The 17,571-nt window shown below is 48.5% G+C and overlaps 2 protein-coding genes across 2 annotated transcripts; one reads left to right on the top strand and one right to left on the bottom strand.

Annotated features, from left to right (window-relative positions):
• The first annotated feature begins 4,321 nt into the window (after positions 1-4,321).
• On the top strand, positions 4,322-9,154 carry LOC100129098 (uncharacterized). Its single transcript, XM_041680557.1, has 2 exons — positions 4,322-4,775; positions 7,206-9,154. The coding sequence occupies exons 1-2, from the start codon at positions 4,322-4,324 to the stop codon at positions 7,958-7,960; spliced, it is 1,209 nt and encodes a 402-aa protein (XP_041536491.1). The 3' UTR covers positions 7,961-9,154.
• Positions 13,856-16,813, bottom strand: SOX17 (SRY-box transcription factor 17). The gene is made up of 2 exons (NM_022454.4): positions 16,303-16,813; positions 13,856-15,690 (listed from the first exon to the last, which is right to left on the bottom strand). Exons 1-2 carry the CDS (start codon positions 16,607-16,609, stop codon positions 14,753-14,755), a joined length of 1,245 nt encoding a protein of 414 aa, NP_071899.1. The 5' UTR covers positions 16,610-16,813; the 3' UTR covers positions 13,856-14,752.

Genomic DNA, 17,571 nt, shown 5'->3' with positions numbered 1-17,571 from the left:
CCACTCTGCCTTTTGCCAAAGGATAGTTTTTATACTTTTCATTGCATTGAACACACCATTACAATTATTTGTCTATACACCTTTCCCTTCTACAGGATGACAGGCTCCTTTAGGACAGGGAATGTATGTGTCTTATCTTTGAAGACAACGTATAGTGTCTGGCATATAATAGATGTTCAATAAATATTTGATGAAATAAATACCTAAATAAGTAACTGACTTCTCAGGTAGCTCTGTGATATCAATATGTTCATCTACTTATGGCAGCAATTAGCAGCACTTCGAGAGATTTTAAAACTGAAACACCCTGACTGCAGGCAAAACCAATTAAGTCAGAATCTCAAGGGGCCAGACCAAGCCTCAGTCTTTTTTTAAAGCTTCCACTGATTGCAGTGTGCAACCTGCTTTGAGAATCATTTGTTTATAGAAGGTAGAAACTCAGTATCTAATTCAGTATGTTGTGTTACAGCAAGAGCCTGACTCTAATCTAGTAAGAGAGACAAGCAAACCAGAGACAGATTCTTGAAATGATGAGCAATAATGAATTTGGCAGTGAGGCCAGTGGAAATGCATGAGGAAGCGGGGGCTGCTTGCCGCCTGCCAACAGGGTGTATGTGTTGTCAGCTCATGTCAGTCTCGATCTAACTAGATCATTGATAAGACTTTGGAGAAAAGAAAGAGGATCCTGGTGAGTCAGGAGGACAGGCTGTGCCGAGGTAAGGAGCAGAGGAGAAATGACCCAAGATTCTCATCTAGTGACTTTTCTGAAATGAATCTTCAGTGTCCGTTCCTGAACTTCAAGTGTTTTAGGTTAAGAATGGTCCCTAAGGCCGGGCGCGGTGGCTCACGCCTGTAGTCCCAGCACTTTGGGAGGCCGAGGCGGGCGGATCACCTGAGGTTGGGAGTTCAACACTAGCCTGACCAACATGGAGAAACCTCATCTCTACTAAAAATACAAAATTAGCTAGGCGTGGTGGCAGCGTGCACCTGTAATCCCAGCTACTCAGGAGGCTGAGGCAGGAGAATAGCGTGAACCTGGGAGGTGGAGGTTGTGGTGAGCCGAGACCGCACCATTGCACTCCAGCCTGGGTAGCAAGAGCGAAACTCCGTCTCGGGGGAAAAAAAAAAAAAAAAAAAAGAATGGTCCCTATGAAGTAAGTGTAGACCAGGGCTTTGCTCTCTGAGTATGATCCATCAGCCTAGCTTGGGAACTTGCTAGAAGTGCAGAATCTTGGAACTTCATTTTTAGCAAGATCCCAAGGAGATCTGCATGCACATTCATTTGAGAAGTACTGTTCTGGACCAATCTAAAGAAGAAGTGCAGCGATGGTCTGAGATTCGGCATTTCTGGATGATCTCAGGCAATGCAAATGCCGGCGGTCCAAAGAGACTCCATATTTGGTATTTCCTTGTGCCAGCCAGTGGAATTAGCAATCACTGCTCCAGCCTGCCCTGTACCCTGGTTATCTGTTATGAATCCCTTTGTTTCAAGTGAAAAGAAAATGAACTCATAGTAAATAAACTGAATTTGCTCACATAACTGAAGTAGTCAGAGGTACAGCTCACTCCCTGGGAGCCTTGATATTGTCACCTGGGATCCAGGTTCTCTGTGTCCTTGCTTGGCTTTGTGTCCGTTCTCCACCGGTAACCTCCTGGCCCAACTCTCATGAAAATGGCTGCATTGGTTATGGACCGTCACCCCCACTGTGTCCAAGGAGGGCTGCTTCCAGTCACTCTCTTGTTTGTTCATTTATTTATTTATTTATTTTGTGATGGAGTCTCGCTCTGTTCCTCAGGCTGGAGTGCAATGGCACAATCTCAGCTCACCGCAACCTCCACCTCTTGGGTTCAAGCGATTCTCCTGCCTCAGCCTCCCAAGTAGCTGGGATTACAGGCACCCACCACCATACCCAGCTAATTTTTGTATTTTTAGTAGAGACGAGGTTTCTCCATGTTGGTCAGGCTGGTCTCGAACTCCTGACCTCAGGCGATCCACCCGCCTTCTGAGTCACGTCTGTCCTTTAACTGGATAACTGGGGGGGTAGGGGGATGGGTAATGCCAACAAGCTTGAGACATGCCGGGCTCACCCGAGTGACCTCCACCCAGACCTCATGACTGACGATGCTGAAAGGGCAAGTTCTCCAAAGAAAAACCAAAGTTCTTCTGGGGAGACAGCAACAACTGCCATGGTCGCATCCCATCTGAGAGGCCAAACAGGGAGCTCTGTCCCCAATTCTTAAAGTGCAATACAGTGCTGGTCACCAGTTCTTAAACAGCAATACAGTGCTGGTCATGTGGGTATTACAGTATTTCTCTTTTTTTGAGATGGAATTTCAATCTTGTTGCCCAGGCTGGAGTACAATGGCGCTATCTCGGCTCACCGCAACCTCCGCCTCCCAGATTCAAGCGATTCTCTTGCCTCAGCCTCCCAAGTAGCTGGGATTACAGGCATGCGCCACCACGCCCAGCTGACTTTGTGTTTTTAGTAGAGACGGAGTTTTTCCATGTTGGTCAGACTGGCCTCCCAAAGTGCTGGGATTACAGGCATGAGCCATTGCATCCGGCCTATGGTATTTCATTTCAAAATTTATTTAACATGAATCCAGGGAGTTGAATTGCACCTTTGATCACAAAGATGCTTCCTGAAAAACCGATTTTAGAAATCCTCTACAGAAATCATTCACCCTACATCCACATCCCTGATTCCAGGGAAAAGCACTCAAACATTACAAAGCTCTTTTGAAAACCATAGCTAATTTTTGGTCGGAAAATAGCCAAGCTCATTCAAAGTCTTAAGTAAGTAGTATGAAAAATAGCAAGATACGTACTCTACATTTATCATGGAGAATGGCATGTATTAATCCATTTTATTAGCTCATTCTGCAGGTACTAATGTATCCCCAACCTTTGAAAAGCCTCCTCAGAAACTAGTATTTCAAACCTCTAACATTTAAGGGACAAAACACAAGCTCCTAAGAGGGTGTCACCCAACCTTTCTAAGAAGTAATGTCAACCAGAGAAAGTAGGGAAGGAACGTTCCACCCGGCAATGTTGTATTGTTACTCATTTTTGGTTGGGTCCCCACCTGGGCCATAAAGTTCTTGAGAATGAGAAGAACAGCAGCTAAGATTCCCTCCTCCCATCCCTGACGCTCCGCACCCATAATATGACGGTGCTCTGCTAAACGGCCTCCCATGGAGCTGCTTAAAGGAAAGCCTGGCCCTTTCCACCTGGATGTCCCCCAGCATATGCCCTCTCCCCCAGCTCTCCGGGTTCCTGCGTCCACTGGCCTCCTGTCCTCTGGTTTGGGGGTCAGGTTTGGCCAGCAAACCAGGTGGGCAACAGGATTTTCTCCGGGATTTATTTCCTAGTCCCATCTTTCTGGGCCACAATCAGCATTAGCTTCAAGGTCAGAGCTCCTGGCTGGCAGAACTCCTAAAGCCACAGTCATCGTGGGCTCCAGGGACTGCTTTGCCATCATCCCAGTCAGGCCTGATGAGTGCAGCTTTGAGCGCCTGGGGCCCTGGATGCTTCCAGTCCCGAGATGGATTCACATGTATAGACCACTCATGATCTTTCTTCGGGCACTCTTTAAGTATGTTAGCTGTTTCCTGCGGGGCCCTGAATAACACACACACACACTTCATTTAATTTTGCAGAATATAAAATCTACATACACACACAATTTTTTAAGAAAAACTTTATTTTTCAAATTTACAACATGTCAATAACCAAGAACTTTAAAATAATGACTTAAAATGTAGAAGATACTCAATAATTGTTAGTAAAATGTTTAAAACTAGTTGGAAGAAGATTACTTTTGGGGGAAAAAAGCTGTTTCTGCCACTGCCCATTAATTTTCCACTTTTAAAATGATCAAACTTTAATGCAAAATATAATGTGCATAAGTAGAAAATGGAAATAGACTGACTTTGCATATGCTTAAGCTGAGCACATTTTTCACTGCCTCCTTTGAGACGTTAACAGTATTAAACGCTGTCTTTACTGGAAAGTTCCTTCTGAGAAAGACAGGAATATTTCCTATATTCTGTCAGTCTTAGTAATACATGGTAAGCTGGTAACGCAACTCAAGAGGCCTGAGCAGAGAGGTTGAAGTCGGCACCGGCGCCTGGGCTGTTCCCAGGAGACTCCGCTGGCTGCGTGGGGTCAGCGCCGTCCAGCAGGGCGCGTCTTTGGAGGCGGCGTCAGCTGCCCCGGCGCGGCGGCTGCATCTGGAAACCGCGCGCGCCGCCCGCCAAGGGCGAGCCCGTCGCCCACAGTTCACGCGCATGGCGCCGGGGGTCGCCAGTAGGCCCAGCGATGAGGGGGCTGCGGGCTTGCAGTAGAGACCTGCGCTTAGCTGCTGGTGCGGGGCAGGCCTGGGGCAGCGCGGGGCGAGGAAGGCGGGGTCCGGCTCCACGCGGTCAAACGGGGACGCAGGGCGTGGGCAGTGGTGGCAGTGGAGCGGGAGTACGACCAGAGCCATGTGCGGGGCAGCGACCGGCAGGAGGGAAAGCCCTGCGCGGGGAAGGGCAGGCCCAGGCCGCCCAGGGCTACGCGGCCGCGAACGGTTGGGGGACGGTCCTGGTCTCTGGCCTGGTCCCGCAAGATCCCCGCGCTGCGCCGCCTCCCGGAGGAAGGCAGCTCCTCCTCCTGCGCCCACCTCGCTGGGTACCCAGTTGTTTCCCAAACTCACAAAGCGCAGACATCTCCCAAGAGGACAGGAAGCCTGCAAAGAGGCGCCCCACACACTTTTATCACCCAGACGAACACAGTGTGAGTGGAAGTTAACATTAACTATGACGCCAGAGCAGCGACCCCATCAGCCTACGATTATCGGGGCAGATCTCACCTCCTGGACAGAATCAGCTTCTTAGGTCTCAGCCTTACGACATGAGGGTCCCGGAAGTGCCAATAAGCCATCCACGCAGACCAGCACTTGCCCAGGTAAGCAGGCAACGGAGGGGCAATGCTCCAGGAGGAAATAACCCACCCAGAGTTTTCTATGCACCTCTCTCTGCCAGCACCCCTGAGATAAAGAAAGCACCGGTCTTGTAAAATATTGCAATTATGGTGTGCACAATTTTTACCCCTTTTCTTATGGAGTGAAACGTGCTCCCCAGTGAGTCTACATTTAAGTACAGGTACTATCTGTTCTGTGCATAAACTCAATTTGTGCATGTGTGAGGGGGTCTGAGGGCTCAGACTGTACACGATGTAAAAGATTAAGTCACAAACTGACATTGGACTGGAGACGGGACAAGTGGGGCTGACCCCACGGAAGAGTGGAGAAGACCATCAACCGGTAAATCGAAGTCCATCTTCTAGGAATACAAGACCGCCAAATGTGTACTCTAAACTGAAAAAGCAAGTTTCAGAATAGTAGGAAAATGCGATCCCAATGGGGGCTTGGGGGGAGAAACTCCTCTGTATGACTGTAAATAGAAAATGTGTGCGGCTGGGCGCGGTGGCTCACGCCTGTAATCCCAGAATTTTGGGAGGCCGAGTTGGGCAGATCGCCTGAGGTCAGGAGTTCCAGACCATCGTGGCCAACGTAGTGAAATCCCGTCTCTACTAAAAATGCAAAAAATAGCTGGGCCTGGTGGCGGACGCCTGTAATCCGAGCTACTCGGGAGGCTGAGGTAGAACTGCTTGAACCCAGGAGACGGAGGTTGCAGTGAGCGGAGATCGCACCACTGCACTCCAGCGTGGTGACAGAGCCAGACTCCATCTCAAAAAAAGAAAAAAAGAAAGCGAGAAAGAGAGGAAAGAAAGAAAGAAAGAGAAAGAAAGAAAGAAAGAGAGAGAAAGAAAGAGAAAAAAGAAAGAAAGAAAAAGAAAGAAAGAAAGAAAGAAAAAGAAAAGAAATAAAGGAAAGAAAGAAAAGAAAAGAGAAAATGTGTTCAAGGGAACACAGGACACATATCTGAATATCTGAAGTTGGGACTGGAGCAGGGAAACTGTTTTCATATGCTGCTTACATTTCTATGAAATAAGTTTTAAATAAAGCTATAATGCAGAATAGAAAGGGTTTTACACTGGTTTGATTAAAATAAACTCGGGCCATTTTATTCCTTCTCTTAAAAGCAAAAAACAGGCGGGGCGCGGTGGGTAACGCCTGTAATTCCAACACTTTGGGAGGCCAAGGCGGGTGGATCACTTGAAGTCAGGAGTTCAAGACCAGACTGGCCAACATAGCGAAACCACGTCTCTACTAAAAAATAAGACAATTAGCCAGGAGTGGTGGCACGCGCCAGTAATCCCAGCTGCTTGGGAGGCTGGGACAGGAGAATCGCTTGAACCCGGGAGGCAGAGGTTGCAATGAGCCGAGATCGCGCCACTGCACTCCAGCCTGGGCGACAGAGCTAGACGTCATCTCAAAAAATAAACAAACAAACTCTGGCCATGTTATTCCTTCTCTTAAAAGCAAAAAACAGGCCAGGCGCGGTGGCACATGCCTATAATCCCAGCACTTTGGGAGACAGAGGCAGGAGGATCGCTTGGGCCCAGGAGGTCCAGGTTGCAGTGAGCTGCGATGCACCACTGCACTCCAGCTTGGGCGACAGAAGGATACCCTGTCAAAAAATAAACAAACAGAAAAGCCGCTCCCTATTAACTTCAAAAGACTCTGGAAAATTAACTCGATGTGTGCACAGGTAGAGGCCATCCTCTCCCAAACTTCAGCAACAAACTAGAGCTCTAGATTGCAACCTGGCTAGCTTGAAATTCTAAAGCTTTAGGCGTTTTCCTGAAAGGCTGTTAAATGTATTTCTAGCTCCATGTGTGGCGAGCAGTTAGAATCTGTAATAACTCAGCACCCATCTCTCAATTCCTTACTCAATAAATGAACAAGGAATACAACTTTTTTTTCTTTTAACTTGGAATAGGGGCATACTTTTTAACTTGGAATAGAGCTGTTTCGTTTTTGCAGAACCTGGCCTAATTAGGCGGCACATTAAAACCTTTCTCCCAAGACTGCAAAATTTTGTGTTATCGTTTATACCTGGAGATAATTAACAATTTGGTTTTGAACTTTTTATTTAATGTCATCTCCAGCTCCCAAGACGAGTCTGCAATTGCCGGTCAAGTCTCCCTAAAGGGAAACACTAAATATGAGAATCGCTAAACACGAAAGAGTTTTCGGAGGTAGAGCCACCGACCGGTTCTTGAGGATGTTCGCCAAGCCCGGCGTCTCCCCGCGCAGAAGCCCAGCCCTCCCACGTCCGGGGTTCCCGGCGCCCGGGTTCCCCGCGCTCCGCCTCCCCCGGCGTCGGGCGCAGCTGGGCGTCAAGCTGGGCGGGGGTCCCTCGCCAGCCTCTGGCGCTCGACCTTCGCCCCACCTGGAAGGCGCCGGATGCGAGACTCGCCCTTGGCTCGGCCCGCGGCCCCGGCCGGCGCCTCGCCCTTCACCTTCAAGTCCCCGAGGGAGCTCGGCAACTCGGCCCAAGGACAGGGGCCCAGCCTAGCCGTCACCGCCGGCAGCGCGCTCCGGGTCTGGCTCTGGTAGTCACTGGCGTATCCCGCATCCGGCCTGCTCACGGCGCTCCAGGCCTGCCCCGCGCGCCGAAACCCTCCGCCGGACGCGGAGGAAAAGAAGGTGGTGAGCGAGGCACGGAGATGCTCCGACGGCTGCGCGGGTCTCCGAGGCCGAACCGCCACCCGCGTTCCGGGCCAGTCCCAGCCCACGGCGTGGCCAGCGCTGCCGCCGGTCCAGCGACACTGCGGGCGCCCCCGGGCCGCGGGGCCTCTTCTGAGACCATGTGGCCCACAGAGAATCTAAGCTCCCGCCGCCGGGCTCCACCTCAACGGCGGAGAACTCGGGCGCCGAGCATCGCCCGATCCCTACCCGGCAGCGGACGGCTACAGGGTTTGATTTTCCCCTCCACAGGAAAGAACGTGCAGAGGCACAAATCCCCTCCTCTTCCCTCAGAGGAAAGCCTGTCCCAGCGGTCCCGCTGAGAACTTCCGAAGCCTTGGCGCGGCAGGCAGGCCCCTGAGCCGGTGCACCGCGAAGTTGCATTCTCACCTTCGAGTCACCGTGGCTTAGGCCGAGTAAACGAGCACTTCATCTAGCGCCGGGCGGGCCCCGGCACCAAGCTAAGAGCTCAAAACTCCTCGAAGCGGGCGCGCGACGTCGCGGTCCGAGCTCTCCTCGCCGCACTCCCCCATCAGACCTAAGATCTTTTACCTTTTAAATTAAAGTGAATCCAGATCCTTGTTAATGCGGCCTAATGTAGCAGCGGGAAGAGTGTAGGTCCCTGGCGAGGGGAGCGCGCTCCGGTGACCTCTAGCGCCTCAGACGCCCGCGCAGGAGGAACTCCCGCAGCCCGCCCGGGACCCGAGGGCAGGAGGGTGCGGGGAACGGGGCTGCCACTGCGCCTAAGCCTTTCCCCTTTTATAGGCTTTAGGGAAACAAATCCTCTTTTCCTAGTGGATGTAAGAAGTGAGTGAATTTAAAGTCACAGCCACGGCGGTAAGCGGCCCCAATTGTCTGGGATTCATAATGCTGTTAATATACACACGTATATGTAACAGCACTTTGCAGGTATACATACATATATATTATATGTATTTTTTTTCATATGACGTTTGCATCAATATTCTGCGTGCTGTCCCTCCCCCACCCCAACCCCAATCTGTTTTTAAAAATCCACCTCCGCAGAAGAGGAGAGGAGTGCTTCAGGGAAGGGTGGAGGCATCCATGTCCTCACCTTTCCCAGTGAGGAATCGAGACTTCCCGCCTTCGCGATGGAACTAGAAAAGGGTATGTAGTCCTGGACTTTAAAAGACAATTAACAGAAGTGGAAATAAGGATGTAACTATATTCCGAGGAAGAGCGGGCAGGAAATTCTTAGCTGTCGTAGCAGAAAGTAAATGTCTAAAACTCATAAGCCTAAAATTAGCCATGCAGGTACATTAATTAATTAACCACTAGACAAGCAGAATTATTAATGTAGGTAATGCCCAGTAGGGGGAAGAAAAAAGGAATTGATTCTGACCTGTGGCACTGGGGCTGGGGAGAGATGGAAACTTCTGACAACTCTGTTTATATTACAAGCCCGTCTGCAATGTTGTTTGAGTTGTTGTAAGCGTGTGCATCATTTACATTTTTAAAATTATTTTTAAATGAATAAAACAATAATGTTTTCTATATCCACAGTCTCGTTATTGAAACTACAAACCTAAATTTTTATTTTCTATTTTTCCTTCCTGTTATCTCAGTAAGCTTTTTCAGGTCAATATTCTTGGTGCGCATGTGTGCACCTCTGATCCTTACTATTGTATTCAAACGTCCAAACAAATATTTATTTTAAAAAGCAGAAAAATCCACTATATAGGGGGCAGCTATAAAATTGCTCCTTCCATTTTGCTGGTGTCTACTAATTTTCTTCTATCAGTCCGTCCATATCCATCAGTTCACAGAAATAACTTCTGAGGACTGAGGGATTTAAAAGCCTGCGGATCGCGTTTCAGTATTACCTGGAACTACTGGAAGCCAGAATCTTTTCTTAATTTGCCTTTTTCCCCATTACACTCTGCTTATTCCTCCTCAAGAATTCAGACCCTGTTCAGTTCTCAAAAAGTAAACGGTATGGAAATCGATTCAGGACTTCAGAAACCATACTGGTGGGAGGAGGGGCTAACAGAAAGATAAATGTTGGCAAACTTGATATCGCATTCAGTATGTCCCAATTAACTGTCCCTTTTATAAAGATCTTAAGATTTTCATGCAGGATGGGAGTTCTTGTGTATTAAGACATTCTATACAAAGTTCTCCAACTGACAATTATTTTTTTCTCATTTTATAATCAAAGAGACTAAGCTGTCCAAAGCACAAAGTAAAACACAGATGCTGTGTCTCCAGCAAACACAGACCATCTTATAGGGCTGTAAAATTCTCATTCCACTAAGGAAAGCACCCGGGGAAGGCGAGTTCCTGTTGTTTTTTCTTTCCCAATGGAAGAATGAAATTAAATTCCCCAAGTCAGCTGAGATAGAGAGAGATACATAAAATCAAAAGATAGGAAGCCGGAGAGAGGGAGAGAGATCACTTTCTGTGGCACTGAAGCACTCCCTTCAGCGTAATCTCATCTAATCCCTACAACAGTTCAGTGAAGCTTTCGCCGTTATCCAGAGTCAACTTTGGCAAAATGTTTTACCGTCACCCCTGCTTTTTACAGATAAGCTGGCTGGAGTGCAGAAATGGTCGGTGATGTCTCCAAACTCACAGAGCTAAGTTTCCAAGCCAGGTGAACCTCTGATTCAAACTGCAGAGATTTTTCTTCTTACGGAGGACAGACACTGCTAGCTTTATTCATAGAGCTATTCTCTAATCCTTGCTCCAGTAGTTTACAGTCTGGGGTTAAATTTTTGTGTTCAAACACATTATTCAAGAGAAAGGAATAATAGTCACCAGGTGACTGCCTCTAATAGAAAAGAGAGGCAAAGCAGGAACTCTTGAGTTTCCTTGGGGCTTCCCAGCAAGTTGCTTCCAGCAAGTTATTCAGTCAGTTTTCTGAGCAACCGGTAACGTCAGGTAATACTGAAAATGAGACAGTCCTTAACCAAGAGCAGAAAACTGCTGGGTTTAACTTCACACGCACCACAGTTCTTTTTCTTGCCTAACAAGTTATCAGGCTTATGGGAAGGCACTGACTTACAGAACTGGGATCCACAGCACAGCTACTGATGTTTATTTTTTTTGTTATCTGAACCTGCACACAGAGAGTATCCTCACAAGATCATCTTTTGGAGCAACATCAATTTGGGGAATACTTGTTAGGAAGTCAACTTTGGCAAAAGGTTTAAGACTTCGATTCAAGTGGAAAAAAAGATTGTCAAAGCTAAAATTTCTTCAGCAAGAAGAGATTTTTAAAATATTTAGCCAAATGGTTTCTTGAATCTTAGCTACAGAGAAATTTTTACATTAAAGAACATCATGATTATCACAACAACTTACTTAGCACTTGCGTGTACTAAGTGCTGCACTAAGACATTGTAGTTTCCAGTGTCTTGAACCAACCTGGGAAAAATATCAGTGGTGAGGGTTCAGTGTTTGTATATGGAGGATGGTGCAAACTGAATTATTCCCATAAAGCTGCTTGGTAATTCCAGAGAAAGCACACAGCCACCTTCTCATTAGAAGGAGGGTAGGGATAGGTGTTATGGTGAAAAACTGAGATGCTGCTGGATCCCAGGCCAGAGGACCTAAAGAAATACTCTCTCCATTAGGAGCCCACCCTGTGGAGGAACTTGAGCCTACTCCAGATGGGGACTGGGTAGGAACATCAGTGCCATTTTTCTTCAGATGAATATTGTAGACCCAGAAGGAAGCACCTTGTAAGCAGGAAAAATAAATTTGTGCTGAAATAATGGATGTAAAATACTTCTCCCTGTCCACTATTGTCAAAACAAATCAAAGAGGAACAGGAGGAGGAAGGGAATGTTGAACATTTATTATGTGACAGGCACAGTATTAAAAACAAAATGAAATGGGACATTTTAAAATGTTAGGCTGAGATGATGTCTTTTGGTTCATTGCACCCTTTCCATTTTATCTGAATTCCTTTGGCTTGTATGTGCTTTTCCTAATATCAGTACAAATTCAAGCTGATATCTTCTGCAGCGTGATTCAAACTAAAGAGGCAATAATCTACTGATAAGAATAATAAGTAAATTGTTTCATTGCAATATTATCTCTTAGCTGCTTGTGTAAGTCATTTACAAGTTTATCTGTAATTTATCAGACCCACCTGGTAGCTTTAATAGAGATGTAGTCAGTATTCTCATGGGGGAAAAAATAACCTCTTCCTTATTGCTCCGGATGTCTCAAAGGCATGCACATTCTGTACTGGCATCAAGTCTGGCTATCTTAGCTCATAAAAGAGCTGGATTCTTACCTCCTAATGTAATTCTAAAGTACCAAATTAGACATGGGTAGAAAAGCAATGTATCCTTTATGTGTATTTGTCTCCAAAATAAAACAGTAAAAACTTGAGACAGATTTAATATTTTGTCTCAAAAATTCACTAGCTGGTACCTGTGGTCACTTCATCTGAATCTACTTGAGGAAACAGAGGTCTGCGTATTTGGTGATGTCATGGGGGTATCCAGGCACTTGGTAATGTCACAGAGGGGATTTATGCATTTGGCGATGTCATACCTGGTGGTGGGGGGAGGTCTGTTCACTTGGTGATGACATAGAGTCGTTCGACCTAGGCAGAAGTTTTACATTCTGTCGTTCACTTTAAAACTATAATGGTCTGTAATGGACCCCAAAGCTCTATTTCTAATTTTGCCACCAGGGCCCACATCCCTGTACTTTAAAATGAGAAAGGGTTTAAGGATACCAAATGTTTTGGTAATTTAAAACTACCAAAAAAAAAAAAACATAGAAGGAATAAGACCTAGTATTTGATAGCACAACAGAGTGACTATAGCCAATATTAATTTAATTGTACATTTTAAAATAACTAAGAGTATCATTGGATTGTAACACAAAGGATAAATGCTGCAGGGAATAAATACCCCATTTTACATAATGTGATTATTACACATTGCATATCTGTATCAAAACATCTCATGTACCCCATAAATATATACCCCTACTATGTACCCATAAAAACTAAAATTAGGAATTAAAAAAAATCACTAGCTGCTACCTGCAGTCACTTGATCTGTGTGCTTGAGGAAAGAGAAGGAATTGGCTTGATGCTTCTTACCCAAAAAAAATTATTTGTGAACACCAATCCCTCCATCCATGTAAATGCATGAACATTAACTTAACAATTTTAGCTCTTACTGCTTTTCCACCTGCGCCTAGTGAGTAGTTAAAGATGTAATTTACAGGACTTTAGATCTTTCCCCTAAGAACTCTTTTTCTTTTTCTTTTCTGTACTTATCTTAATATCGTTAAGAGATGGCAGCCAAGGGTAAAACTGAGTCTTCTTGGGCTGACTATGATGAAAATGCCAAGTGTAATCTGAGCACAGCCCTGAACTTGGGCTGGTAGCCCTTCTGTCCACTTTATCTACTGGGAACTCTTGGGACACCCTGCAGAAGGAGCTCAGGCTGGAAGCAGAAACAACCCATCTGAGCTAAGAGAAAGAATTTAACCTTTTTAAAGGCAGCCTGTTATGCCTGACAGAATAAACTTACCTTTCCTCACTAAAACTGTCTATCCTTCACATTCCAGGAATCCCTTCTAAAAAACATATTCCATGCCCTTTTTCAAGAGAATCCAGCCAATCATTTCAGCTCAGACATCTCTCCCATGTAAATGCTGGAAGCTATCCTCCAAGCCTTTCCTTTTTCTATAGCACTTGCTGCTAAGGATAATTATATGGTTTCTCATCAACAGAATGTAAATTCTCCCAGTGCCCATGAATACATACTGGCCCAGAGGAAAACAGGTGAGAAATATGTCAAAAGAACTTGTAATACAAGCCTTCATATACATGGCAGGGGAAGGCCTGGTGCCTCCTTTTCTTACAAAATAGGAAAAATAGCACCTAAACCTGCAGGTTTGTTGAGGCTCACACTGTTTAGAATGGCATTGAACAAACATCTGGCACAGGAAATGCCCATTATAAGTCACCTGTTTCCATTTATGTCTCAATCTCAAATGTGGTGAGACGTGCCACAGCGATTAGTATGGCAGATTACAGGGGCTGATCCCCATCTTTTACTCACAACCCTGTAACTGTTTCTTCTTGATAAAGTAATGGTGATAGATAGGGACACTACACACAAACCATTCATGGATTCTCCCCTAAGTCTGTGCAATCGTCCGTATATGTATTAAATCTAAAAGCAAAAAAAAAAAAAACCAATCAAATAAAATGCTAAAGTGTATTAAAAGTTGTCATAATGCAAATTTTATTTTGATTAGTTTTTGTGACTCCTTTATCTTAAACCCAGCGATGCTTGCCACTTCCCAAGGTGTAAAAATGTGAAGATTAAGGTAAACTGAATGTCGAGGAGTGTAAAGAGATGGCAAAACACAGATAAAAACATCCAAAAAGCCTCTGGGGGCAGGTCAAGCTTATGATTCAACAGTTAGAAAACCAAAATTACTTGGACATCCCCTTCTACTTAAAGTGATATACTGGAATTGAAAATATTAACTGTTAGTTTTAGAAACTAAGATTACTTGAAGTAGGCTCATTCCAGAATGCTTTTCTTTTTTCCTTCCTGAAACAATTACATCAAACTTAGATATCCTAATGTTTATTTTTAGATATACTCCTTAAAGGCATTTATGTTCACCCTTTTCGAGGATGAGAAATTTACATTAACTAATAAACTTAACATTGATCTTAAGAACTGGTTTTTGATAAGACTAGTGTGACAGAGGTACTAGTAGAGCAAAAAAGCAGGATTCCAGATTTTATTTTTTAGAAGATTGAAAAAACACACCCAGGACAACATTTCTTTGATCAATAAACTTTCAGGAAATGGAGGAAGCTGTTTTGGGACACATTCAAAGCTAGTTAACTTGAACTTGGAAATAGGGTTTTGACAATCCAACTATGGGAAACAAATCTCTGAACAAATTTTAAATGAAACCTCACCCCCCCAAACTGTTCAAGTGGCAGACAAAATAAATTACCATAAATTATATGCCAACACACCTTTTAAAAAACAACAACAGCAACAACAAAAACCCAGGAGTCTGAGGATTTCCTTAGCTCCTCCAGGAAGTGTGTAACACTGCTTCTGGCCTGCAGGCTGGGGCGGATCAGGGACCTGTCACACGTCAGGATAGTTGCAGTAATATACCGCGGAGCTGGCGTCGGACACCACCGAGGAAATGGCCCCGTGGCTGTCGGGGAGATTCACACCGGAGTCATGCCCCTGGTAGGGGAGGCCCATCTCAGGCTTGCACACGAAGTGCAGATACTGTTCAAATTCCGTGCGGTCCACCTCCCCGAGGAGCTCGGCGGGCTGACTGGGGTCCGTGCCGTCCCGGCAGGGCAGTGCCTCCGGAGGGGGCGACGGCTGTCCGGGGCCCGGGGGGTGGTGCTGGTGCTGGTGCTGGTGCTGGTGTTGCGGCTGCATCTGGAAGCCGCGCCCGCCGCCCGCCCCGGGCGAGCCCATCGCGCCGTAGTACACGTGAAGGGCGCTGGGTGGCGCCAGGAGGCCCGGAATCGAGGGACCCGCGGGCTCTGGGCCGAGTCGGGGGTGCATGGGACCGGCGGGAGGCTCCGGGGGGCCAGCGTAGTCCGAGACCTGCGCGTAGCTGTAGGTGCCGGCCGCCGGGCAGTCCCCGGGCATCGGGGCGGCGAAGAAAGCCGGGTCGGGGTCCACGCCGTCCAGCGGGGACGTGTCGGGCGTGGGCAACGGGTAGCCGTCGAGCGGAGGCGCGCCCAGACTCTGGCAGTCGCGGTAGTGGCCGCCCATGTGCGGAGGCAGCAGCGGCGGGCCGGCGGGGAAGCCCTGCTCGGGGAACTGGAGGCCCAGGCCGTCCATGGCCACGCGGCCGCCCTCGGGGCCCAGCGCGGCCGCCTGCGGCTCAGCCAGGCCGTGCAGGAAGCCGCCCTCCACCCGCTTCAGCCGCTTCACCTGCTTGCGCCGCCGCGGCCGGTACTTGTAGTTGGGGTGGTCCTGCATGTGCTGCACGCGCAGCCGCTCTGCCTCCTCCACGAAGGGCCGCTTCTCCGCCAGCGTCAGCGCCTTCCACGACTTGCCTGCACAGTGGAAGGAAGGGGGAGAGGGGCGCAGGGCTTATCGGCTGCGCTCCCGCTCCAGGCCCCACCTGGCCCCACCTGGACGCACCTCCCCCCTCAGACTTTGAATTGCGCAACCGGGGTGAAGTTAAAGAGGGAGATCTGGGACTCCTGAGTCCGAGCCCTTGGGGAACACCCGTCCTCTAAAGGCACCCCTTTCTTTTGGTCTCCTGGAAGCGGCTTTCCGCTCACCCATCACCCGGTCGTTCGAAAAACAGAAAAGGACACCTAACTAGGGAAGGGGTCGAGGGATGGACACAACCGGCCCAGTTCAGGGCCAAGGGTGCTCTCGCGCCGCCCGGAGGTGCCGGGAAGTCGCCTTCCCAGAGCCGTTGGACCCGCGCCCCCGGCCACCTGGGGAATCCGGGAGCCGGAGAGCAAGGCGGAAAGCTGCTTTGGAGGGTCGGAGGGCGGGAAGCGGGAAGGGAACCCAGAGCCTTAAGAAAGGACGTGGCCGCTACACACCCCTGGTTTTGGGCGTCAGGCTCGCAAAGAACAGTTTGGGGTTTAAGAAATCGGCCTAGCGATTCGCGCCAGCGCGCCCGGCCGCCTGGGTCTGCGACTCGGACTCACCCAGCATCTTGCTCAACTCGGCGTTGTGCAGGTCTGGATTCTGCTGCGCCAGCCGCTTGCGCTCGTCCTTAGCCCACACCATGAAAGCGTTCATCGGCCGCCGGATACGGGACTCGCCCTTGGCTCGGCCCGCGGCCCCGGCCGGTGCTCCGCTGTTCGCCGGCGCCTCGCCCTTCACCTTCATGTCCCCGATGGGGCTCAGCGACTCGGCCCAGGGGCAGGGGCCCAGCCCGGCCATCACCGCGGGCAGCGCGCTCTGGGTCTGGCTCTGGTCGTCACTGGCGTATCCCGCATCCGGGCTGCTCATGGCGCTCCAGGCCTGCCCCGCTCCCCTCAACCCTCCGCCGGACGCGCCGCCTCCCCCGACCCGGGGGAGGGGGTGGGGAGTGAGGCACTGAGATGCCCCGAGGGCTGCGCGGGTCTCCCGGCCCGAAGCCGCCGCCCGTGTTCTGGCCTGTCGCGGTCTGGTCTACAGCGTACCCAGGGCCCCCAGCCGGCCTAGTGACACTGCGGGCGCCCCTGGGCCGCGGGGCCTTTTCTGCACAGATGTGGCCAATGGAGCGGCGAGGGCGGGCCGGTCCCGCGTCGTTAGGCCCACGCCCAGGCCGTGGTCCGAGTCCCACGTCCCAGTCCAACCCCACGCCCGCCCCTTGCCCCTCCCCCGGCCCCGCGCCCAAGGCTACACCTGCCCCCGGGAAAACTAGCCGGAGCTGGGCTCTGGCGCCGCGTCCTCTCCCACCGGGGTTAGGGAGACTCGAAAAGCCGTCTGGGAGGGCTGATTGTACCTTGGAATCGACGTACTTGCCCAAGGTCGTTTAGATGAACATACCGAGCGTCCATTCTATTCTCTTTAAAGCACATCTTTTTGCAGAAGCCGAGGGTGTTTCAGTGGTGGGTGACCTAGTTTACTTCCAAGGAACTGCATGGGCATCTTCAAATGTGTTTTCTCAAATGCGAAAGACACCGTTGATAATAAATTTAAAAATACAATTTTTCCCCCAGGACTCAACTTGCCTGTGTTATATTCAAAATGCTGTGTCCAAGATAAATCCTAATTTTCTAAAGCAAGATTAAATATGGAACGACGTTCTGTATCCAATATTCCTTCACTCTAAAGAATAAAGCATTTACTCATGACAAGCCAACCAGTTTTTATGTGTATCTTATTATACACATCATGTGAAAGTACGAAAATGTATACATGATGTATATAAGATACGCATAACAAAACTGTTTCTCGTATGTGTTCAGTAACAGGTGAGCCTTAAT

Source organism: Homo sapiens, chromosome 8, assembly GCF_000001405.40.
Source record: "Homo sapiens chromosome 8, GRCh38.p14 Primary Assembly".
In the NCBI taxonomy this organism is placed as follows: domain Eukaryota; kingdom Metazoa; phylum Chordata; class Mammalia; order Primates; family Hominidae; genus Homo; species Homo sapiens.
Note: the sequence above shows the minus strand (reverse complement) of the source record. Positions and strands in the feature narration are given on the sequence as shown.

What these genes read in the sequence shown, in the direction of transcription:
- LOC100129098 (XM_041680557.1), top strand. Translation starts at nt 4,322, where the DNA reads ATGAGGGGGCTGCGGGCTTGCAGTAGAGACCTGCGCTTAGCTGCTGGT. An exon ending in TTATCACCCAGACGAACACA is followed by an intron (nt 4,776 to 7,205) that starts GTGTGAGTGGAA and finishes CTCCCCGCGCAG; the next exon opens with AAGCCCAGCCCTCCCACGTC.
- SOX17 (NM_022454.4), bottom strand. Translation starts at nt 16,609, where the DNA reads ATGAGCAGCCCGGATGCGGGATACGCCAGTGACGACCAGAGCCAGACC. An exon ending in CGAGTTGAGCAAGATGCTGG is followed by an intron (nt 15,691 to 16,302) that starts GTGAGTCCGAGT and finishes TCCACTGTGCAG; the next exon opens with GCAAGTCGTGGAAGGCGCTG.